The sequence below is a fragment of the Homo sapiens genome, chromosome 13, assembly GCF_000001405.40.
Source record: "Homo sapiens chromosome 13, GRCh38.p14 Primary Assembly".
NCBI lineage: Eukaryota > Metazoa > Chordata > Mammalia > Primates > Hominidae > Homo > Homo sapiens.
The window spans coordinates 112,996,282-113,021,739 of record NC_000013.11 but is presented as its reverse complement, the minus strand read 5'-3'; the positions used below and the strand labels follow the sequence as shown (position 1 = coordinate 113,021,739).

The 25,458-nt window shown below is 58.2% G+C and overlaps 1 protein-coding gene and 1 long non-coding RNA gene across 26 annotated transcripts in view, besides 1 other annotated feature; both read right to left on the bottom strand.

Moving 5' to 3' along the window:
- Positions 1-25,458, bottom strand: part of MCF2L (MCF.2 cell line derived transforming sequence like) — a 205,408-nt gene that overhangs the window by 78,003 nt on the left and 101,947 nt on the right. For 20 of the 25 annotated variants that reach the window (NM_001438391.1, NM_001438392.1, NM_001438393.1 and 17 more), the window contains one exon: positions 6,894-6,977. In NM_001438391.1, the coding sequence (NP_001425320.1) occupies positions 6,894-6,977 (84 nt within the window). Of the gene's footprint in view, positions 1-1,687; positions 6,292-6,893; positions 6,978-19,756; positions 20,027-25,458 lie in introns of those variants that run through there. The other 5 variants (NM_001438760.1, NM_001320815.2, NM_024979.5 and 2 more) reach the window with 2 other exon arrangements.
- Positions 7,097-7,625: an enhancer, noted in NCBI's record as "H3K27ac-H3K4me1 hESC enhancer chr13:113668429-113668957 (GRCh37/hg19 assembly coordinates)". NCBI's record gives its function as "activates a minimal SCP1, AML or CMV promoter by ChIP-STARR-seq in primed H9 embryonic stem cells {active_cell/tissue: H9 hESC(primed)}" and the evidence as "EXISTENCE:reporter gene assay evidence [ECO:0000049][PMID:30033119]".
- LOC107984591 (uncharacterized) lies at positions 11,404-18,648 on the bottom strand. Its single transcript, XR_001750037.2, has 2 exons — positions 16,839-18,648; positions 11,404-15,865 (listed from the first exon to the last, which is right to left on the bottom strand). It is a non-coding gene; the product is annotated as an uncharacterized LOC107984591 (long non-coding RNA).

Below are 25,458 nucleotides of genomic sequence, written 5' to 3'. Positions count from 1 at the left end.
AGCAAAACACCGCTGGACGCGGAGCTGGGGGCACAGCCCCTCTCTGGAGAAACCCTCCCCACCAAGGTGGGCAGTGCCAGGACCCGGGGCCAATGGCACCAAGAACAGGCTCTACTTCTGTGTCTACACCCGGCCTAGTAACTGGAGGCGGACTGAACGCCGCAGAGGACAGAGGGCTCCGAAGCTCCTCTGTGGTTCAGAACAGCACCCTGTCCACACAGCACCAGGGGCAGCCTCCGGTCCCCACCCACGTCCAAAAACCACTGTCCTGGCTGAGACCTGTCACACCTGCATGTGAACTCTCGCACCCAAGCAACTGGGCCTACATCCACTCGCTAGGGGCAGAAGGCAGATGCAACTCCCTCTCATCCCCATCACCAGAAAGAAGTGTGGTTCCTACGGGATCTGCTTTAGTGTGAGATACACACTCAGTTTAATACACACACAGCTACACACAGCTACCTATACACACATACATGTACATATACACACATACAGTTACACACACAGCTACTTATAAACACACACATATGTACACAGCTATACACAGATACATAGCTGCACATACAGCTAGACACACACCTACACACACATGTATACACAGCTGCACACATATGCATGTGGATGTGTAGGTATGTATATGTACATATATGTACAAACATACACACCTATATATACACACATGGATATACACACACAGCTACACGCACATACACAGCTACCATACAGATACACAGCTACACATACACACACATACACATCTACAAGTACACACATATACACATACACAGCTACACATGCACATGCATACACACTACACATACACACACATACACACATCTACACATACACACATCTACACATACACACATATACACACTACACATACATGCAAACATACATAGCTACACATTCACACGCGCACACACTATACATACACACATCTACACATACACACAGCTACACATATACACTGTTATGGACTGGATGTCTGTCTTCCCCTGAATTCATGTGTTGAAATGCTGACCCCCACGGGGACAGTGCTGGGAGGTGGGGCTTGTGGGAGGGGAGGAGGCCGTGGGAGTGGGGCTCCCGTGAATGGGATTCTGTGGGCTTGCTCTGCTCGCCTGGCCACATGAGGACAGCGAGAAGGCTGCAGTCTGTAAATCAGGAAGTGAGCCCTCACCAGGCAGCACATCTGCCGGTGCCTTCATCCGGGACTTCCTGCCCCAGAACCAAGAGAAATAAACTGTGGCTTAAACCACTCAGTCTAGGGGACTTTGTCACAGCAAGCAGCCTGAGTTGAGACACACAGGTAGATACACACACGCACACGCGTCCTGGGCAGGAGGCATGTGTGACGGCCAAGCCGGGTGACCAAGGGTGTGACGACTCACACGTGTGTCCTGCTTTGTTTTCTCCACGGACGTGATGCATCTTAGGGACACCCTCTTGTGTGATGCCTCGGCCCAAACACGGCTTTAGAAACTCACCCACATGAGCTGCTTAGGAATGAAAGCATTCCAGTGGTTAATTTACTATGACATCTGTATCCTAAGTTAACTGTCGGGTAGAAAAATCTTAAAATAAGAACTAAATAAAAACCTCCTCCTGCCAGTGTGGAGATGACATCAAGAAGGCATCACATTCTGAAACTAGACACTACTTAGCCACACGGAACTCCTACCTGGACAGGATGCCTTTGTCAACACCACTCGTTTATGGCTCGCATTTTCACACAGGCTGTTTGTTGGTCTGTCTGGGCGGCCGTAACAAACCACCATAGGCCGGGAGGCCCAAACAACAGAAATTTATCTCACAGCTCTGGCCAGGTAAGTCCAAGATGAAGGTGCCCATAGACTTGGTGTCTGGTGACGGCGGCTTCCCCATTCAGAGGTCTCCTTGAGGCATGGCCATGCTGCGGAAGGAGATCTGGTCTCTTCAGCCCCTTATAAAGGCTCTGATCCCACCTGGGAGCTCCACCTTCATGACCTAATCTCCTCCCAAAGGCCTCACCTCCCCAAACATCACCTCTGGGGTTAGGGTTTCAACATCTGAGTTTGGAGGGACACAAACATTTATCCTATAGCAACTGGTTGGATGTCGTGAAACCATCGGATTCCTTGAAGCAGGTCCAGAAAGGAGCACGTGCGACTCTGCCCAAACCTAACGGGATTCCTGTCTCCGTCTCATGACTTTGATTCTCCGCAGAACACCCAGGGCCACCCCAGTGACCTTCTGTCCATTTCTGTTTCTCTCCAGCAAGGGCAAACCCCCACGGGCAGGGAACGTCTGTCTGTCTGTGGCTGAAGCCTGGGTGTCAAAAAGCCATCGGCCTCAGGGAGCGCAGGATCGGATCGGTCCTCCCAGGTTGGAGCAGCCGTCGGGCCTTGGTGAGTGTAGACTGAGCTTCGGGTCTGGTGGCTGGAGCCTCAGACCACGTGCCAGGGAGACTCCGGGGTCCTTCCCCACTTCGAATCCCTCTCTCAGGACTGCCCAGGCAGGTGCCATGCTGGAGCCCTGCAGCTCACCTGAGAACTGCGGCTCAGCTGCACAAACACTTAATCCTTAGGACGAGATGTAAGCTGGGACCAAAACCGAAATGGGGTGGGAGAAGGGGCAAGGCAGGAGGGGGCTTGTGCAGCGAGCGCTTGGGGAAGGTGAGGAAAGGAGAAGAGACGAAGGTCTCCAGCGTTCTTCCCGGGAGGAGAGCACAGGCCAGGGGAGGAACTCCTAAGTCTGCCCTGTCTCCACACACCTGAGGCTGCCTGGACATGGGATGGAGCAATCCTGTCAAATCCAGGTTCCTGGATGGCTGATGGCCACCGCTGACCATGCCACATTCCCGTAAAAGCAAAACGAAATTCCCAAGAGCCGCCTGGGCAGTGGGAGGGGGGCCGCCGTCCATTGCAGGGAGTGAGACGCACAGTGGCGGTGGCCTCTGCGTTCCGGGCAGGGCCTCCATTTCAGCTTTGTGGTTTTCACCGGTGGCAAGTCTGTTCTCTGCGTTTTTCACTTCAGATCATAAGTTCCTCAGTGGTAAATTCTCCCGCCCTGTTTTTAGCTCTTGCTGACGGTCAGCAAGTTGAAGTATCTTTTCTAGGATGACACAAGGACTGAGTTCTGAGACCACGACCTCCTCGGGGCCTGCTCCGACTGCCATGCCAGGGGACGCGCCATTGCCTCTGGGTTTGGAGCACCCATGCACCCCCCAACCCTCAGCCTTCAGTAAGAAAGAGTCAAACGGATGACTCAGGAGGCAGCTCTGCCCGGAAGGACAAGAATAATCAAGAATTTACATGTAGGATATTTCCTGATTTTACACCCAATTCCTTGTTCCTCAAATGTCAGAAAACTAGAGGGGACAGTAGGGTGGCAGGTCTCGTAGCTTCAGGGTTAAGCGAAGCGCTTTTGGGGCAGATGTCACTGTGAGTAGAGGGTGTGGATTACGAGGGACACAGGCTGAATGGGGAGCTGCTGTCTGCGGATGACAGACACAGAGTCCAGGTGTGACTTCCGCAGCTCGTCCTGACTTTGGGCGGCAACGTACAGGAGTCCGGAGCCCCCGAGGTTTACGCATCCCTCACTTGGCCGCCTTTCAAAAGCTGCCTCATCTGGATCCAGGATCTGGACAGAGCTGTAGGGTTCTGCGTGGCACCTGTGCGTCTACAGACAATGGAGGGAGAAGACGGGACCGCACATGTCACAGTGGCAGCCATGGCTCCGCGGCAGACAGCACAGGGCTGGCACGAACGTCGCAGGGAGGGGAAATCAGCAGGGCAAGTGGAAAGAAACGCAGTCTCCTCTTGAAAAGGAAAATTCGGAGCCATTCCTTCCTGACATCTTTAGTTTTTTGCTCTGGCACTTCACGGAAGCCATTCCAGGCATCCAAAGACCAGGGAATTAAGCAAAAGTCCACGGAACAGGCTGGGGTGTCGACCTGTGGGCTCCAGTCACAATGAGGGGCCTCACCCAGCTGGACCCCAGCCCCATGGTGGTCAGTGTGCAGGAGTGGCGGGCGGGGGAGTCTGTGTTTCCTTCGAGTGGAGCGAGACAGGGAGAGCGAGTCCCATGGGTGATGCTGGGGCGGGAGGGGAGCCCCCTTGAGGGCAGCTGTCAAGACAGCAAACCTCTGAGCCAGATTTACCCTGAGTCCAAGGCGGCCCCTGAAAGGCACGTCCACTCCCTGTCCCAGGAGCCTGTAAACATGACTTTGTTTGGAGAAGTCTTTGCAGCAGAGGTAACAAAGTTTTCAGGGTGAGACCATAATGGATTATACGGTGGGCCCTAAATCTCGTGACGGGTGTCCCGGGAGAAAGGCAGAGGGGCTTTGAGGCAGAAGAGGAGACACCGACGTACAGGTGAGGCGGCTGCATGAAGATGCCAAGGGACACCAAGGAACACCTGCGTCCCCAAAGCAGGAGGAGCCTCCGGAAGGGGCACAGCCCCACGGAACCTGAGAGACGAGCCCCAGTTGTTTCGGTCCCCCAGTGCATGGCCTTTGTCATGAGGACACAAAAGGGGGCTTCATGGCAGGAACCCGGAGTGCAGGCGCAGCCTCAGGACACAGCAGTGCTGGACGTGGTGAGGAGGGGACGGGGCGATTGGCAACGCACACACCCGAGGCTGCCACAGGCTTCCTCCAAATCCGCGCACATCTGCAGGAGAAGCGCCAGCCGACACTGATCCTTCTCAGACGTGGTACTGCTGCTACGACCTGGATCCTGAGAACAGCGTGGTGTGCCAGGGTCCCACCCCAGATGGGCCCATGGCTGAGCCCTCAGTACATGGCTCTGAGGCTGGGTGCACCTCTAGAAGCCGGGAGGCAGCTGTGAACAAACCCAGCCCTCAGGAGGGACCCACGCCACACACGGGAGGACGTGAGGTGGTGTAACGAAGGGGGCGGAGCAGAGCGCAGGCGAGGAGGGAGAGGGCATGTACGAGGGCGTGCCTCTGAGCAAGGCCTGAGGGGCCGGGCCAGCCACAAGCCCCGCGGAAGAAATTCGCTGCATGGAGAGGGCCGGCTGTGCAAAGGCCCCGAGGTTGGCGGGAGGCAGGGGGATGGGGAGGCAGCCTGCCTCCAGGGGGTGGGCAGGATACGACGCGGGGGCAGCATATGACGCGGGGGCAGCAGTACCACAGGGGACTCCATCTTATATTCCAGGAGGGAGAGGAGCCGACGGAGGCTTTGGTGTGGTTCCCAAGACCATTGACGCTCAGGCACTTATCAGCTTGCGGGTCTCTGCTCAGGGTCTCTGGGCCCACGTGGAGGGGTTGCCGGGCTGTGATCCTGAGCCCAGTCTCTCCAGCTCCCCCAGGGGCTTGGCAGAGCTGTGCCCCCAGCTGCAGTGTTGAGGCCCCGGGTTCCTGGCGGCTGCCCGTGGGGCGGCTCTTGTCCTGGTCAGGCGGCCTCTGCCTCCTTCGGGGCCACACAGAGAACCCCCTTGTGTCAAATCCTTCTTGCACCTGGGATCCCTCATGCCAGGAAGAGCCCCATCTCTTCTAAGGGCTTAGCTGAGTGGGTCAAGCCCACCAAGGAAGATCTTAAAGTTAGCTGATTTGGGGCCTTAAATTCATCTGCAAAATCCCCCCCAGAGCTCCTGGGCTGGCGTCTGAGGAACGATCGAGAAAAGGTGGGTGGCTGGGGCCGTCCTGGGACTCTGCCCTCCCAGGCACCGCTGGGGTGGGGGCACTGCCTGGCAACTGGAGGAAGGTCAAGGCTGGAGGCCCAGGTCGGGGCCCTCCTGGTGGCAAAGCTGTGAGCCTCTTTGGGGTTGTGAAAGGGGCGGGGAGAGGCTGGGGACGCAGGAGGAACCGGCAGAAACCACGGCGCCTCTCTTGAGCCATCACCACGCCTGGTCCCCGACACAGGGGGATTGGAGCCCTTGTCCTCTGGGAGTTTTCAGTTCTCCAGAGACCCCCTGCTTTCTCTCCTTCCTCCTCCTGGGCCACTTGGCCATGGGAAGCAGGGACCAAGTCACTGCACAGCACTTCTCCTCTGGCCATCATGTTGCTGGCTGTCTCTTCGATTTTGGTCTCATAAAACTCACCAGCTGCACCTCGCAGTCAGCCTCCCTCAGACCCCAAGGCCCGGCCTGGGGTGCAGGCTGGCTCTGTAGGTGCAGGTGCGGGATGGAGGCCCCACCGTGCCAGCCATGGATTGGGGGCCGGGATGCTGACGGGAATGCAGAGGGGCAGAGGCTGAGCTCCCAAGAGCACCGCGTCCTCGGCATCGGGGCACCCTCCTCAGCATCGGGGCACCCTCCTCGGCATCGGGGCACCCTCCTCAGCATCGGGGCACCCTGATGGCCCAGGGTGGGCATGCATGTGCATGGTGTTTTTTCTGACGGGTCCTGTTGGGCAGATTTGTTCACATAAGAACGGCATCTACATAGCTCGGGGCCACTGCAGGTGCCCTTGCTGTACCCACACAGGGGTGCTGGGAGCCTCATTATGTCCCCATGGCTGCAGGCACCACCTCCACAGGTGTGCCAGACGCAGGGCTGGAGGCCACAGTGGACAGAGGCGTGGCCTGGGAGGTGCCCAGATGCAGCAGGAACTGGGGTTCACTGAGGCCCATGGGCTCGGCCACCCACACACCACTCCATCTGTCCCTGGAGGCTGCTGTCAGGGGTGCCCAGGCCACATCCCCCTGGGGACCCTGACCCTCCTCCACCCACCTCCTCCCAGTGGCCATGTGCCAACTGGCATGGAGCTGCCCACTTCACAGAGATGGGGAGAGCCAGGTCACAGGTCAGACCCAAGGCAGTGAATACACAGCCCCTCGCATGACCCTTCCCAGCTCCAGCCTGGGCCAGGCCACGGGGGCTGCTCGGCCCACACCCGGCCCCAGACCCCTCCCTCTCCACCCCATCCCAGCTTCTGGAACTCACCGGACAGGTAAGCAAAGCGCTTCTTTAGCTGGTCCTGGATGTCGGCAGCACAGAGCGGGACGATGTCCTGGTGCATGATTTCATCTGCACGGAAAGAGCAGACGGCACGTGTCAGTCCCAGGAAGCTGCCTCACCCTGCAAGCGCCCACCCGATCCCACACGGAGCTGGCACATCCACAGGCACCTACGGGAGTGGCGTCACGTGGCTGGAAAAAGGCTTTTCAGTTTCCAATACGTGGAGGCCTTTGTTTCTCAGCGCATAAAAGCTGTGTGTTGAGTGATTCACCATCAATTTTGAAAGTGTGATATAAGAGGTTCAGAGAGAGGGACTGAGAGACAGAGAGAGGGAGGGACAAAGAGAGAGACCTGGGCAGAGGGGAGGCAGGGGAGCAGTGGGAAAGGGCTTGGTCCTGGCTCCTCGGATAAATACACTTTGGTCTGAGTCCCACCCACATTAGGGAAAATGTTCAGGCGACCCCTGCCCCGCACCTGTTGCAGGTGCAGTAACTTGTGGCCCAGGAGGAAAACCTGGCCATGGAATGGGCCTCTGCCTCCGCACACACAGGACCCTCGGGGGTCTGTGCCACAACCCTGGCCTCGCCATTAGACGGACACAAATGAGGCAGGATGGCAACAGCAGGGTCGACCCCCACACCCATCCCCCCACCCAGCAGGTTCCAGATGGCTCTGGACGCACTGCAGCACCTGCAGCCACCAGGCCAGCACTGGCTGGGAGCACGGGGGGAGCATGGGGCCAGTACCAGCTGGGAGCACTAGGCCAGCGTCAGCTCGGAGCATGGGGTCAGCACCAGCTAGGAGCATGGGGCCAGCACCAGCCAGGAGCACGGGGCCAGCACCAGCTGGGAGCACTAGGCCAGCATCAGCTCGGAGCATGGGGTCAGCACCAGCTAGGAGCATGGAGCCAGCACCAGCCGGGAGCATGGGGCCAGCAAGACCCTCCAGGGAAAGCTGTACGGACTGACAGGCTGGTGGTCTCTGCTACAGAGCGGCTGCCAGGCCACTGTGCCTGGGGGACACTGACCACTGACCACGGAGCAGACACGATTTCTGGCCAACGCTCTCATCATATAGCCACATTTGCAGTCTTGAACATCCACACAATTTCTCTCTAAAAGATGCAGGACTCACGCTGATGACCTGAGAATGGCTTAAACGCTCAATTTTTCCACACCTGAGGACCCAGGTCACTAACAGCCTGAAGATATGGGACAGAGGTGTTTGTACCTGGAAATTCCCAGCGGAGGCTGCCAGATAATATCTACCTGGCATCAGACTTAAATCTTGCTCTTCCAGTCTTGCAGACAAACAAGTGTAAACACGGGACACAGTGGAACACAAAGGGGCCCCTCCTGGGCCGTGCTGGCTGCGGCCCTGCCAGCTATGGGACTGCTTTGCCTCCGAGCCAGACACAACCCTGGTGTTGGGGGGGAAGCAGCAGGGCCACGGTGTCATGGGACCTGCCAGAGCCAAGCAGATGTCAAGGCCCTTCCCCAGAGCCTTGCAGGGCGAGCTCAGGGCACAGACCCATTCCCAGTACGCAACCACGTCTCGGCGATGGCTTCTTTTGTGGGAGAAAGACAGAAACAGTCAATCAGTAAAGCATGAAATACTATCTCATGCTCCTGGCAAGGTGACTTCCACTGGTGCACACCTCTCTGGAATGTGTGTCTGGTGCAGCCGACGGCAGCCTAGACTGCGCAGTTGGATGTTCAGATTTTACGGTAAGTTTTTCTCTCTCACCAGGAGCGACTGTGACCTGAGAGGAAACCAGGAGGCACTGTCCTCAATCCCCTGCCTGCCTCACAGACCGTGGGGGCACCGTCCGCATCACAGTGTCCACCGTCCACACCGCCTGTCCACCGTCCGCATCACAGTGTCCACCGTCCACACCGCCTGTCCACCGTCCGCATCACAGTGTCCACCGTCCACACCGCCTGTCCACCGTCCGCATCTCAGTGTCCACCGTCCACACCGCCTGTCCACCGTCCGCATCACAGTGTCCACCGTCCACACCGCCTGTCCACCGTCCGCATCACAGTGTCCACCGTCCACACCGCCTGTCCACCGTCCGCATCACAGTGTCCACCGTCCACACTGCCTGTCCACCGTCCACACCACCTGTCCACCATCCACACTGCAGTGTCCACCGTCCACACCGCCTGTCCACCGTCCGCATCACAGTGTCCACCGTCCACACCGCCTGTCCACCGTCCGCATCACAGTGTCCACAGTCCACACTGCAGTGTCCACCGTCCACACCACCTGTCCACTGTCCTCATCGCAGTGTCCACCGTCCTCATTGCAGTGTCCACCATCCACCCAGCCTGTCCACCGTCCACACCGCCTGTCCACCATCCACACCACCTGTCCACCATCCGCACTGCAGTGTCCACCGTCCACACTGCCTGTCCACCGTCCGCATCACAGTGTCCACCGTCCACACTGCCTGTCCACCGTCCGCATCACAGTGTCCACCGTCCACACTGCCTGTCCACCGTCCACACCACCTGTCCACCATCCACACTGCAGTGTCCACTGTCTACACCACCTGTCCACTGTCCTCATCGCAGTGTCCACCGTCCTCATCGCAGTGTCCACCATCCACCCAGCCTGTCCACCGTCCACACCGCCTGTCCACCATCCACACTGCCTGTCCACCGTCCGCATCACAGTGTCCACCGTCCACACTGCCTGTCCACCGTCCACACCACCTGTCCACCATCCACACTGCAGTGTCCACTGTCCACACCACCTGTCCACCATTCACACTGCAGTGTCCACCGTCCACACCACCTGTCCACTGTCCTCATCGCAGTGTCCACCGTCCTCATCGCAGTGTCCACCATCCACCCAGCCTGTCCACCGTCCACACCGCCTGTCCACCATCCACACCGCCTGTCCACCGTCCGCATCACAGTGTCCACCGTCCACACCGCCTGTCCACCGTCCGCATCACAGTGTCCACCGTCCACACCGCCTGTCCACCGTCCGCATCACAGTGTCCACCGTCCACACCGCCTGTCCACCGTCCGCATCACAGTGTCCACCGTCCACACCGCCTGTCCACCGTCCTCATCACGGTGTCCACCGTCCACACCGCCTGTCCACCGTCCGCATCACGGTGTCCACCGTCCACACCGCCTGTCCACCGTCTGCATCACAGTGTCCACCGTCCACACTGCCTGTCCACCGTCCACACCACCTGTCCACCATCCACACTGCAGTGTCCACCGTCCACACCACCTGTCCACTGTCCTCATCGCAGTGTCCACCGTCCTCATCGCAGTGTCCACCATCCACCCAGCCTGTCCACCGTCCACACCACCTGTCCACCATCCACACCGCCTGTCCACCATCTGCACTGCAGTGTCCACCATCCACACCACCTGTCCACCGTCCACACCACCTGTCCATCATCTGCACTGCACTGTCTACCTGCTGGCAGCCCGCAGTGCCTCTGGACTCTCTGGGCCAGGACAAACTCTAAATATTGTCCCTCAGATCAAATGCCTCATTTTGGGTATGAAAAGCAGGGATCCCCCTGTGTGTGATCAGAAACTGCACACAGCTAAGCCCTCATACAAATAAACTCTAAAATATCGCTACATCTGAAGTGGTCACTGGCCACTCTGTGAACCTGAAGAGGCCTGTGGATGCTCTCTGACCCACACCAGAGTGTTGGCCTTCTTCCGTTCTTCATGGAGGCCTTCTGCAGGCGGGGCCCTGGGATTTTCAGGGCGCTGGGCGTTTCTTCCATTTATGTGTGTAAGTTTTCATTCTTCTTGATTTTTTGAACCCACTCAAGAATGATGGGAAAATCTGCCCTTATGATCATAGTTTCTTTAAAAGTTCCAGTCTACTTAATTTTGCAGCCATAAGACTAAGAAGCGCACGGAGGAACAATAGTGGCCACTCAGTTCAGGAGACAGGTCCCCAGAGGAGATGCAGGCAGGCGAGCATGGCCTCTGTGGGGCTCTGTGCTGTCAGACGTCTGGGAGGTGGTGGGCCCCTGACCCGTATGTGCCACCCAAGGCCAGGCCAGGCCCAGCTCCCTCACTGAGCCCTGCTCCAACCAACTCCCCAGTGATGACCCCACTGCTCAGAGGCAGGTCTGAGAGGGGAGGGTTAGGGCCTCACATCTGAGGCCCGGCAGAGGCTGCCCCGTCCATTCCCCTGCCACGCGGGCAGAGGCAGCAGGTGGGGCCGACGAGGGGGTGGCCAGGCCTGCCCCTGCCCATCCCCAGCACCGACCACAGCAGCCCCACCTGGGAGGGCCAATCTCTTCTGGCCACTACGGGGACGACGTGGTGAGATTTCCCAAGCGTGGGAAGGGCAGAGGTGCCCTTGGCTCACCTGATACACAGGTGAGGCCCCACCACTGACTTTTCCTCACAGAAACAGGGTCCTGGCAATGGCAGTCCAGGGAGGGGGACCATGTGTCTATCTTTAGATCTCTTTGTTCCAACAAAACCAGACGACTGAAGCAAACTTCCTTCCTCTTGCAAGTTGACTCAAAAGCTTGCTTTATTTGAGGACAATTTCATCCTGAAAACCAGGAGCGGGGTGTTGCGGGGTGGGAGGGCGGCCAAGACGTCTGAGCAGTATCCCAGGCACCCCTTCCAGCCCAGGGTGACCTCGAAAGCAGCAGAGAGAACGGGGACTGGAGGCGGGTGGGCCCTGGAAATCCTCTCATGGTGCGGGTGGGGGGGGTATGGGGGGTGGACTGTCACAGGTGGAGGCAGCAAGGCAGCTCCTGGCAGCAGGAAGAGGCCCAGGTGCAGCAGGAAACCCCGTCCCTGGTGCTCACTGGTGACCGTGGGCAGAGGAGAGGACAAGTCTCTCCACACAGCAGCCTGGGGCCATGGGGTACAGTCCATCTTTTGCCAATTGTCTTCTTTTATTTATTCTGGCAAAATGCCCATTCCCAAAGGCTTCTGCATCCTGTCCATCAGACAGGACAGTCGTGCCTTTTCAAAGTCCAAGGCTGAGCGTCAGATGGGATTACGTCACCAGATCATCCGGCCAGAGGCCTTCCCGAAGCCCATCCTTGAGGATCTCCAAACCCAGGAAGAACAGGGCCACAGAGCAGGGCAGTAAGAAGAAACGCAGGCCACAAAATCGGAACAAAATCTAAATTCAGTAAGGAGGATGCTTGAAACCACAGCCTTCAGATAAGGACACCCCAGGAGGCCAGCATCCCCGTCCCCTCCAGACAAGCTCCTGACACTGTGTGGGTCAGGGGATAAACAGGACACCCTGGGGGCCAGCGCCCCGTCCCTGCCATTGGGACAAAAGGGGCGTCCACACCTCTGTTTGTGATGTGTGTTAAAGGATCTGTTTGATTTTGCATTCCCGATGTTTAAGGTTTATCCTGACTTGGTTGGCAGAATTCTCACTTACATTAAATCTCAAATATGTTTAACGAGCCATTTGCTAGTGGGTTAGGTATAAATATTTCATGTCACATACACAGTGACTTAAATCACATGGTTCACTAAATATTATTTTTCTGATCTCAGAAAGCTTAACCTTTACACATTTTAAAAATACAAGGCCCTGCCAGAAAAGATGGTCAAAAGAAGCGGTGATCAGGGAAACCCCGCTCCTACCGCAGGGGCGTCATCTCAGACGCGCAACACCAACCGGCAAGGGCCAGGAGCCGGCGGACTCCCACGTGGGGGGCAGGTGTCAGTGCACAGCCGCCCCGCAGAACCCTCCGGACGCCCTTTGGAGTGAGACAGTTTGCGCCTCGGGCAGGGAGGACTCGCACATCCGCACTTGGCCAATCTCCTCTGGGGGTCGTCTCCAGAGCTTCGCTCTCCGCTCTCCACGCTGCCTCGCCCGCCCGCCCGCAAGCCCTGGGGGCCGTCTCCAGAGCTGCGCTCCCTCTCCACGCTGCCTCGCCCACAAGACCTGGGTTCTCTGATGCAGGCGGGCGTAAGAATCCCCTGGAGCGTGTCCTCAGCACACATGGGTGTGTTGTTTGGGACCAAGCTCCTGCCTAGACCCCAACAGATCAGACTGAAAATCAAAATGAAGTCCCCACACTCCAAGGGAAACTGAGTTGTTATCGGACCTTGGAGAAAACAGGAGACAGAGGAGAGGCCAATCTTCCAACCAGGCCAGGCTCTGTCTTCCTCGGCGTGGTCACGGAGGTCCCTCTTTTTGTTGTTCTTGCTCTCAACTTGTTTAATATGTAAAAGGACAATCAAAACAGTGGTCAGAATTTCCACTTTTGATACATTCTTAGGATGCAGCCCATCCAGAGAGCATCACTTCAAATAGATGAAGAATTACCCAACTTTTTCTGTCTTAAAGACAGTTTGCTTAGATTTTAAAAAGACTTAATTCCATGAGTTACGGCACTGAATTTAACCATGAGAATTAAATATAAAAACATGGAGGCTCTGAGCTGCCCGCAGAGGTGGGACTCCTATGAGGGTGACTGCTGGAGTCCAGGGGCTGAGACACAGCCACTCACAACATTACCGTTCCCCTGTAACAAAGGGTTAAGACTTTATCATAACTTAATTATACATTCATTATGGTGCTTTAAAACAGTCAAGCCTAAATAAATTCTTCACACTGCCAAAAAGATACCCGTACTTGGCCGGGCACAGTGGCTCACGCCTATAAATGCCAACACTTTGGGAGGCCAAGGTGGACAAATCACTTGAGGTCAGGAGTTCAAGACCAGCCTGGTCAACATGGCGAAACCCCCTCCCTACTAAAGATACAAAAATTAGCTGGGCATGGTGGCAGGTGCCTGTAGTCCCAGGTACTCAGGAAGCTGAGGCTGGAGAATCTTTTGAACCTGGGAGGTGGATGTTGCTGTGAGCTGAGATTGTGCCACTGCACTCCAGCCTGGGTGACAGAGCGAGACTCCATCTCAAAAAAAAAAAAAAAAAAGAAAAAGAAAAGATACACATACTAAAAACCCATTTAAGCACAAAGTTTGTCACGTGACGGCTCTTGGTCTGGGCCACACGTGTGTGCAGGGATCTTCTGCTTCTTCAAGCTTGATGTAAGTCCGGCAATCACCTAATGTGAAACTGATCCTTACGACACAGAGCCGCCTGAAGTGGCCAGTGGGTCACGTCTCTCCCGCCGACTCCCCAAGCTTACAAAGGACAGTGACTGAGGCCGCCGAACCGCGTTTGCACAGTTTCTGCTTTCCTCAGCCCTGTCTGTACAGCCGGCCCCGCACTGCGTGTTTCACTGGAGCTCTTAATTCTAGTTCATGGAATGCAGTGCTGCCCCACTCTAGAATCGCCAACAAAGCCCAGTGAGATCTTTAAATTACACGGATTGCAATTTGATCTTCTGGCAGGTATTTCCTCTTTCTCCGCCTCACGGTGGCCACGGCCCACTCAAGTGATTTCAGAACCACAACGCAGGGGTCTCAAGGTGAGGCTCCCAGGTGACACGGACGCTGGGGTCAGGGGTTAGACCCCCGCTGTTCTCAAGGTCACACTGTCTGAGCCAGGGGCACCAGGAGGGTCTGTCATGCAGGGGGGCACTTGCCTGCTCACCAGCTTGCATTTTCATGAACGTTTCCTGACATCAGTAAAATGGCCTGAGTGCAGTTTCAGCCAGGTGGGCCTCAGCATCCACCCTACACCTGGCGGGCTCTGCACGGACCCTGGATCTGTGTGCACTCATGCCCTGGCTGGGGTGTAGTCACACCATACACACAATGGCTTCTGAGCTAGAACAACTTAAAAAATCAAGGGGCAGAGGGACCAGAGACCAAAGTGACTGAGAGCCACTGTCTGAGAGACACAGGAGGCCGGGTTTCAGGATGAGGGACGCAGGTTCCTTCCAGAGTTCAGAGACCCTGACCCTGCCACCCTCTCCCCCAAGGGCCGGGCTGGCTGCCGGCTTTGCCACCTCCGGTCACAGCCCTACCCGCTACACAGTACCCATGGCTCCGCTGCCTCCCCACACCCCGCCACAGACCTGGGCCTGCCCTTGGGGGCTGAGCCAAACCTCCGCACATGTGAGGCTCCAGGCCGAGCCTCCTGGGCCAGATGCTCGGGGCGTTCTCAAGTGACTGCTGAGTGGGCAGGGCTGGTGGCACCCGCAGGGAGCATTTCCACAGGGCCCAGACCCGAGGGTCTTCAACACCTTAGTGTCTCCCGCCAGCCCCCACTGAGATGCACACGTCTCCCTTTCTCTCCTGGAGGCCGCCCAGGGTGCGCCTGCTCTCCCAGCCACTGCCTGCCAGCGCCTTTCCGGTTCAGAGGCAGCTGAGCCCTCACATGGACCTCCTGTCCGCAGGAGGGGTCGCACTGGCAGCTGCACCTGGAATGGCTAGGGGTCCAGGGAGAAAGGGCATGCCAGGGAGACCCCCTCGGGGTTCAGATGAGGACCACCCTGTGCTCCCGGGGGGAGGATCAGGCCAGAAAGGCAGGTTTCCTACTCACACCTGGCTCCAGTGCATTGAGTGAGTCCTCGCGAGGACCTAGGGAGCATGAAGCCTCATCATCCTTGTTTTAAAGACGGGGAATTCAAGGTCAGGCTCAGCTGTAAGCAGCCCAGGACTGCAGGGCAGGCAGTGCCAGGACTGAGCCCACGCCGTCTGCTCCAGCGCCTGGGACCTTCACTGCCACGGGCTCAACAGCGAGGCTATGGAGAGGCTCTCGCAGAGGGGCTGGGAGGGTGCCGACATGCGTCTGTTTCCAGGCTGATGGGTGAGTGAGACCCCAGTGGCTGGGACAGGGCAGGCTTGTGGGCAGGAAGGCGGGGACATGGCAGGGCACGGCCTCCCATTGCACAGGAGTTGCCCAGAGTCACGGAAGATGTTGGAGCCATCAGGGAGCTTCGAGTCCGATGATTTTCGCTAAGCAGCCCCATTTACTCAGCTCTGTTCACTGTGCAGGGTGTTGTGAACGGAGCCCTTGGCTGGCTCATCACTTCCTGAGCTTACAGCTTCTGGCTATTTTTTCCAGCTATATTGAGAAAAATAATTGTATGTATTTAAGGCGCACACGTGCTGTTTTGATATAGTTCACGTTGTGAAACCATAGCCACCACCAAACTCACTGGTGACTGACTGTCACCTCCCACAGCTGCCATTTCCTTTTACAGTTAGAATACCCAACATCCACTCCCAGCAAACCTCAGGTACAAATACAGCGTTAACCACAGTCACCACAAACAGGCCACGGCCACCTTGAACAGGTCACAGCCACCATGAACTGACCACAGCCACCCAGAACCAACCATGGTCACCACAAACAGACCACGGCCACCACAAACAGACCACAGCCACCCAGAACCAACCACGGCCACCACAAACAGACCACGGCCACCACAAACCAACCATGGCCACAACAAACACGCCACGGCCACCACAAACAGACCACAGTCAGTCACCACGAATAGTCCATGGCCCACCACGAACAGACCCCCAGACTTCATTCATTTGGCACAACGGAAACTCTGTGTCCTCCGGCCAGCATCTCCCCAGGCTTCCCCACCCCAGCCCCCAGTAGCCACCGTGCTTGTCGGCGTCTCTGACACCCCACACGAGTGGGGCCGTGGCTTTGCCTTTCTGTGCCTGCAGCTGGTTTTACTCAGCAGGCCGTGGCTTTGCCTGTGGCTGATTTTGCTCAGCACTGTCCTCCAGGCTCATCCGTGCTGTCTCGAATGACAGGCTTTCCTTTCTAACAAAGACCCAGCAGCACTCTATTGTGTGTGCCCCACATCATCTTCACGCGCCCATCCACTAACGGCCACTGGGGTCGATTCCACGTGTGGGCTGGTGAGCTCTGGAGGGCGGGTGGCTCTTTAACACGCTCACTCCTTTCCCCGATACCCACCCACAGTGGGGACTCCTGGCTCCAACGACAGTGCTCTTTTCAATTACTTGAGGAACCTCCATACCCCACACTGTTTTCCGTGATACCTGCACCAACTTACGTGCCCACCAACAGCATGCACGGGCTGCCATGCCTCCGCAAACTTGTCTTCGTAAGGTCCAGAGAGAAATGGGCACCAACGTGAAGCCCAGGCAGCATCTGAACACACGCGTGGTCCGTGTGCTTGGTGTCATCACCACACACGTGGGCCAGCGGCTGCCACAGGAAAGACACTCACTGGCCCTGCGGGAGCACAGACCTCACCCTGAACACAACCTCCCTGAGCTGTGTGACTCTGGGCAGTTGCTTTCTCTCTCTGGGCCTCCTCCTCCTCTGTAAAGCTGAGACAAGGCTTCCTTGTGGGATCATGGCTGCAATTCAGCCGGTGATGCAGGCAGACGGCTTTGGTGATGGCTGCCCCCCACCAGGTGAGCAGACCCAGGGGGATCTTCCTGCTCCCAGGTTATGTTATGGAGGCTACAGGGACCCAGAGGAACCCCCCAGCACTGCGCCATGGGGGCTGGCCAGGGCCCCAGCTGCAGACATGGAGTGACGGCTGCAGACTGAGGTCCATGGAGGAGGTGGTGTTGGCTACGACGCAGGATGCTGTGCAGGTGGGAGGTGCGCTCAACAAGAGGCCAAGGTGAAGAGGACCACCAAGTGTGGCCGCACACTGACGGGCAGATGGACGCTTCTCTGCAGGGTGGTGCCCCGTCCTCCTCTGCCAAGTGACGCCAGGTGGCCTCTATGTAGTAGGGACCAGCTCCCCGAGGACACTTGTGCCCCGGAGGGTCATGCCAGAGCCAAACCTCCCTACTCGCTGGGCCGGGGGGAGGCGTGGCCTGCACCAGCCACGAGGGAAGGGCCACAGCCTGGTCTGCCTGGAACACATGTTAAAAATGCCTAAAGGAGAATGAGAACAGTCGTCATAACAAATTCTTTCCTTTAAAATTAAAAACAACAGTCTGGACTGTACCACGGTGACCTCTCTGTGGAATCCAAGTGTCTCAGTCCTTCTGCGCCTCCCCCAACTGGCACCCTCTGGGCCCGAGGACAGACTCTCCAAGGCCAGTGGGGCTCGCCCCACCCTGCATTTTACCTTCTGAGAAAGGTCACCCACAGGTGGCAAGTTCCTTCCAGGTCCCTAGGCCTCTGCAGGAGTGAGGAGGGGCACAGTGAGGAACACAGGCCTGGCTGACCCTGGCTGACCCTGGCACCGACAATGCTTCTTCAATGTACCCTAAGAGGACGTGAGACACTAAAACAGAGCCTGGAGCAGGTCCCGGGTCTGATCACGGAACCGTCAGGGCTCAGAAGGACAATTCCTCCTCTTGTCCAGGGTGGTCCTGGCTTTGCCTGGTCCTTCAGGAGGGAACTGCAGGATGGGGTGGCCAGGGCTTCAGGGGTGCAAAACCAGGGGGCACCCAGGGGACACAACCTCTCTTAAAGCAGCCACCTACCCCTGCTCACACCGGAGCCTTCCACGGTGCCCCACAGCCAACCCCAAAACCCAGGGGGCCACCTGCCCCTACTCAACCCAGAGCCTTCCACGGTGCTCCACAGCCAACCCCATAACCCAGGGGGTCACCTGCCCCTACTCACCCCAAAGCCTTCCACGGTACTCCACAGCCAACCCCATAACCCAGGGGGCCACCTGCCCCTACTCACCCCGAAGCCTTCCATGGTGCCCCAAAGCCAACCCCAAAACCCACGGGGGCCACCTACCCCTGCTTACCCTGGAGCCTTCCCCAGTGCTCCACAGCCAACCCCATAACCTGGGGTGGCCACCTGCACCTGCTCACGCCCTCACCCAGGCTAGAGTACAGTTGTGCAATCATACCTTATTGTAGCCTTGACCTCCTGGGCTCAAATGATTCTCCCCTCTCAGCCCCCCAGGTGGCTGGGACTACAGGCACACGCCACCACACCCAGCCTATTAATTTTTTTTTTTTTTTTTTAACAGATGAGGTCTTGGTATGTTGCCCAGGCTGATCTCAAACTCCTGGGCTCAAGCGATCCTCTAGCCTTGGCCTCCCAAAGTGCTGGGATTACAGGCGTGAACTGCTGTACCCAGCCAGTTCTTTACTTTAAAATTGGAAACTTTAGATGTTCATTCATTGCCGTTGATAGTTAAGGTCTGATTCACTAAAATTCACAAAGATGCTTATTTTATGAATTATTCATCAATACTTGGCATAAGTACCCGCTGGAAAATATAATTAGGACAAATCTCTTGAAAACGAGTACTCCATTCTTAGAAAAGCATCAACAAAACCCAGGCTGTTTCCTCCCCACGTGACCCCTTCTCCAGGGACCTTGCCCCAAAGCTCCAATTGTCAGGATGGGGCCAGTGTGGACCAGCAGCCCCTGAGCCCTGACCAGACCAAACACACCCAAACCTGAGACCACAGAGGCCGCCCAGCCGGGTCCACAGGCTTGGCCAGGGGCCTCCCAAGTCCTGCTTACCTAGAGAGGGCAGCTTGTCACGCCTTGCACCACGGGTGGCCCCATTGTGGGGACAGCAGTGGCCAGGCGTCCCCTCCAAGGAGGAGCCGCAGCCCCTCCACCAGCCAGACGTGGGCGCTGCCCTCATTTGTCCACATAGCCTGTCTATGAAAAACCTCGAACAAAGGAGCCAGTGGAAAGGTGATCCCAGCCTTCTGGGACCAGCACAGACAGTCCCTCACAGGCCAAGGGCAGAGGCGGCCCCACTGCTCACCAGGGACCCCAGGGCCATGGCCCTAAACCATCCATCGGGCAAGGCCCGTGCACACCTTCCCTGCCAAGGAACAGGGCTCCTCTGGTCTCGGAGGCACCCACCCCAACATCCATCCCCGGCATCCCCCAGCCCCGGGCTTCTGCCCCAGCAGCCTCTGAGGACAGGGCTGGGCCCAGAACGTCCACCCCCGCCCGGCGTCCCCGCACTGTCGCCCCACAACACCTTCCGGGGAGGCGAGGACCCGCCCGCGCCCCACGCACCTGCGCCGGCCTTCAGCAGCAGCCACAGCGCCCAGAGGTCCCGGCACAGCAGTGACAGCCGGCGCACCGTCATGCTGCCCAGTGCGAGTCAGGAGCCCCCGACCCGGCTCCCGGAACGCCCTTCCCGGGCACACAAAGGATGGCGCAGCACCAGCACCATCTTGGCCGCGAAGCGGGGACGCCACACCTTCCTGGGTTTGCTGGGCAGACCTGGCCTCTGCAGGGCAGCCAGCCGGCTGCTCCTCCCAGGGCCTCCGATTCGATGTCCCTGATTAAGGAGCAGCATCGGCTCACTTATCCTGCTGCAGGCAGCTTAACTGTTGCGATCCTGGCGACAGCTGAGCCCCGGCCAGGGAGGCTTCAGGTTCCTGGTGTTGCTTGTCTAGACCCTCCCTGCAGGGGCCCCACACTCCGCCAAAGTCCCATCCACTGAGTGGCAGGGACCTGAGCTGGCAGGGGCCATGCTTAGCAGAGATCCGTCCCCCGAGCCAGCCCCACAGCTGTGGGGACCTAGGCCGAGGTCCGCATCCCCTGTGCTAGCCCCAGGGCTGCAGGGACCTGGGCTGGCAGGGATGAGCTGTCCGGAGAGTATGCTGACCCAGGGGCCAAGCCTTCTGCCCCTGGCAACACACGCCTGTGGGGAGTTGAGCCTTTGAGTGCCTGGGAGGCAGCTGCGTCCGCTGTTCTCATCCGTCTGTGGTCACTGAGTTCCTTTTAAACCCGTGTGAGCAGGGGCCGTTCTCAGAATACCCCTGCACCGAGAACACAGAAGGCAGGCTCCCGGCTGCCTCTCTACTTTTCCAGGACCGGGAGGGGGATACTTAAATACGTCACTTGAAAACTGGCAGTCCAGGAGGGGGCTCCTAACCGCTGCCCTGGGTGGGAGTCCCACAGAGAGCTCGTTCAAACTCAGGTTCTGTCCCTGACGAGCTCCCAAGTTACCTGAGACCATTTGTCCAGGCCCAGAGTTTGAGCCGAAAATCCCAAGGAGCTAAGGGGACCAACGCACATCTCCTGAGAATATCACACCCAGTGCTGGAGTCAACGCACATCTCCTGAGAATATCACACCCACTGCTGGAGTCAGCCCCAGCCGAGAAGGCCTGGGAGGGGTGCTGGGTTTGGGTGGGACCCCGGCCTGCTATGTCCCTGCTGGCCCCGGCCTCTTCCGGCGCCTTTCTCCGCAGAGCCTTACATGTGCACTGACTCCTGCCCTGCGTGTGCCCAGCACAGCACAGCCAGCCCTCCAGGCTTCAGCTTCTCCCGCTGGGAACACCGGCTTCTGGGGGTGGCTGACCCCAAATGCCAGACACCTGGCTCCTGCCTCTGGAAACCTCGGCTCCCTCAGGTCCAAACGCTTGCTGGAGAGGAAAGCGTGGCCTCGCCAGGCCCTGCCTCTGGGAACATCAGCCATGGAGGCTTTTCTTGCAGCCATGATTGCGCTGACAAGCACCAAAGCTAAGTCTGGAAGCTCACTCTTCCTCCTGGGCCAAGACTCTCATCTCCACGCTGCACACACTTAGGGGAGGGATGCCTAAGAGGGGCCACTGCTTCCTCCACGCCTGGGTCCTCTGAGAGGCAGCCTCATCCCTGGGGCAGGAATGTCGCTTCTGCAAGCCCCTCTGCACCCACTCACGACCACCGAGGGGCTGTGATGTCCATCCATAATTATTTGTCCTCCCCAGCCCAGCCATCCTTCCCTGTAAGTTTGGACCTAGGGCTGGCTGGTACCCACGGTGTGAGCTGCCCCCTGAGCCACAGCAGGTTTGGGCTGTGCACATTGACCCAGACCTCCTGTGTCTGGGATCTCTGTGTTCCTATCTTCTACCGTCAGAACGCATCCCAGATGAGCTATCCCTGGAACACGAGCCCCGGGGGAGGCCACGGCATCATGGCCCCTCACGCCGTCACCACGGCACCAGCCGATGCACCTGCCACCTGCACCTCAGCCCTGCCTCCACTCTGGGGCCTGCCGGCGTCTTCATTCCCGGCCCACTCGCCACCTGTGCCTCAGCCCTGCCTCCACTCTGGGGCCCTCCGGTGTCTTCATTCCCAGCCCACTCGCCGCCCGCACTTCAGCCCTGCCTGTGCTCTGGGGCCTGCAGGCATCTTCATTCCCAGCCGACTCTAATGTCCGAAGCATGTTTTGCAGGCACAACTCCTACATTATCAGGCGGCAGGGGCACAGGAGCAGATCACGGTGCCACACGGTGGGTCCCCTCACAGCTGAGCACAGTCCAACGTGTCCTCACCTCCAGCTTCCAACCCCCAACAGCAAAGCACGCCCAGAGGCCTCAGGCTTGGGACACATGTACCAAACACCCCCTCTCCCACAATGTGCTCAAGGCCTGCAGAGACCCCCGAGGCCCAAGGCCCACCTCCTCCCTCGGTGCTCCCAGCACTGGAGGACACGGAGGGCTGGGACGTCTCAGGCAGCCAGCCGTACAGCGGCTGATGCAGATGGAGTGAGCAAAGATCAGCCGAAAAAGAGGACTGTGTTCTGAGCAGGAGGCTCTCACAGAAGGGCCTCAGTTTTTAAACAGAGGGACAGTGAGTGAGCGGTGCCAGAGGCTGTCCTCTAAGGAGAGGGCGTCGTGTGGGGAAGGAGGGGCCCCTGGTACAGATGCAAGGACCCCGAGAAATCAGCTGCTCCCCTCTTCTGTGCGTCTCTCCTGGCCCCCGATGTCTTGTCACACTGAAGTTTCTGGTGGGCAAAGGCTGTGCTCCTTCAGGGTACACAGTGGAGTCTCATGGATTTGCTCAACAAGCAAGGGGGCCACGCAACAGTCACCATAGGGCAGACCCAGGCGGTCTGGCCCCAAGCCGGGGAGGACCTGGCCATCTTCAGGAGGGACTGGCTCACAATGGCCCTGTGCCAGGGAGGGCTGGCCCTGCTCTGTGTCCCTGGGGGGCCACAGTAATGCCCATCAGAGGCCGGAACACGTGGCCCGAACCACACACGGGAAACCATCCCGGGCTCATCGCTGTGGCCATGGCTGCTCACCCACCGTTTCTCACTCAGTCCAGGAGACTGAGGGCTCCCCACCCACAGCTCTTGACCCTTCCAGCTCCCTGCTGACCAAGTCAAGGCCAAAGGCATCCCTGCAGCTTCTCTGGCTGGAGATGGGAAACAGCTTTCCTCCAAGGGCCGTGGGAGCTCGCACGGCCTCAGGCTGGTTTCTGTCCAGTTTCCGATTCATAAAAGCTGTTCCAAGCACCTAGACCTTTAGCCAGAGACAGTGCACGTGAAACCACACCCACAGCAGAGGCCTCCAATCGGCGCAAGACAGAATCGACCCCACACCTGGGATCGGGAGCGCAGTAGAGAAGCCAAGTCCAGGCCAAGTCGATGCCAGACACACAGCCGTTCCCCAGGGACACACATTTTGAACACACGACCATCCCATCCCCCAGGAAAGCACATTTCTTGTGATTTCTTGCAGGCTTCCCTTTGGTGTGATTTCAGACCCGTCCTGGGAGCCCAGTCAGCTCCATGAATAATGTAACCAATCACTCCAGCCTCCTTGGTGAGGCCTCCAGGACCCTCCGGAACCCTCCAGAAATGTCCCCAGCCCATTTCCCCAACAGCCCCGGCCAGGCCTGTGGCTCACGGCCTCCTCACGCTTGGCCTGGCTCTGAGCTCCCCCTTCCCTGACATGCCAGGGCCCTGGGTTTCTAGTTGTTGTATTTGGTATGCTGTTTTCCAGCTTTTTCACACGTTTAAGTTCTGCCTTCCCAAGAACAGCAGTGAGGAGACTTCGTGCTTTATTTGGCCCTTACCTTTTATTTGTGTGTTGTGCTTTACAAATGTGCCTAGAAATTACATGAATGACCGTGTCTAGGAGCTGCGCTGTGCACGGGGTTCGGAACACAGGATGGAAAGTGGCCCAGGCACTGCAGTTTGAGCCCAGCAGGTGCCCAGTGGACCCCGGGGCCCTCAGTGAAGTGCAACACAAAGGCCCCGCACACATGGGCTCACGCAGGGCACAGAGCCGACGCACCGGCTTCATACAGCTGCTGCTGCGGGCAGGCCCAGCACCTCAGCCAAGAGCCCACTCCTGCCCTGTCCCAATCAGTTAAACAGGAAGGTGCTCCCTGCCTGGAGAGGAAACCACACACGCCAGCCCCAGATCAGCAGCTCTGAACAATGAGCGTCACCACGCTGGTCCCTGCACCTTGGGGACACCCGGGGGGCCTGAGGCCCGTGTCCAGCAGGAACTCGACCCATCGCTTCCCACCCCAAGGAGCTGTGGGAGTGATGGCACCAGGTGTGACGGACGAGGGTGGGGTGACCGACCTGGATGGGGGGTTGCTTTCTCCTCCTCCCGGATGGACAATTTCATTTTACAAACCTGGTCAGCCCTGTCTGGAGCCATCAGGCTGTGGGGTGGGACCTGCTGCCAAAGCAAACAGCTAAACCTTAAGTCAAATAAAACACCTCTGTAGCAGCAGATGCAGAGGGCGCGGCTCACCAGGTGGCTGGGGCTGAAGGGACAGTGGACACGGGGCAAAGGTCAGTGACACCCATGCCCCCCACTCTGCTGTCCACGTACGGGGTCCCAGCTATGGGTGACGTGGATGTCTACACAGGTGTCTGCAGGAGCTGCCTGTGTAACACTGCTCTGAGAGTCTGTCTGCCAGCTCCTCGGCTCCCACCCTGCACAGGGGCGTCAGCAGCAACCCCATCGCAAACCTGGAAGCGCAGATGGCATCTGCTGCCTGGGTTCAGTGCAGCAGAGAGAGGGCAGTGTGTTTTCCTGGGCCAGACCCACAGTGGTCTTGGTCTCAAGACTCACCCGAGGCTCTCGATGGGAATTTGGGGCTCTGGGTCTGCCACTGAGCTGGGAAGTTGCTCTCCCCAGATGGAGACGTGAGGACGAGATGATCTCAGAGTCCCTCCGTTCACGGGAAGCAGCCGCTCAGCTGGGAAAGCAGTGCAGGCGAGGGCGGCCCGGGGCTGGCAGCAGCACCCGCCTAGGCCCAGCTCCCACAGCTGCCCGGCCACACCTGAGATAGCGAGGGCGGGACTGGCCCAGCAGCTGCCAGGGTGCGTCCAGATCTGTGCAGGAGTTTCATGGGGGTGGTGAAGCCAGAGAAAGCAGCTGAGGATCCTAGGCAGGGGCTCAGCTGTGCACAGATGCAGACAACACAACACAGCCCCCGTCCAGGTGCCGTGGGCGGCACTGCCAGCCATCAGGACTCAGGAGAGAGGAGGGGCGGCACCAGGTCTCCACCCACAGGGCTCACCAGGAGCCTGGATGCCATCCTGGGCCATGAACCCATCTGAGGACGACAGTCTCGGGACCATCGGGCGCATCCAAGAAGGACATTCCCGGGCCCGTGGGGCACACCTGAGGAGCACGGTCGCAGGATGCCGTGGAGAAAAGATGGAGACGCAGGGCCTCTGAAGGGCACTGCACACTCTGGAACACCATTTCCCCAACAGACGTTCCACATGGTGGGAAACATTTGCGACGTTCTGGGTGGAAAATCACAGCACAGGTCGAGCCTGGCCCGTCCCAGCCCCGCTGCACACATAGCCCAGGGTAGCACGGCCCATCCTGGCGTGTCGGGGTCACTACAGCTGGCTAGATGCAGGGACCAGAAACATTTCCATTCTTTTGTCAGAAACTCTCTAAAGTCAACGCCTTTTATTTATTTTTTCTAGCCAAGGCCTCGCTCTGTCACCCAGGCTGGAGTGGA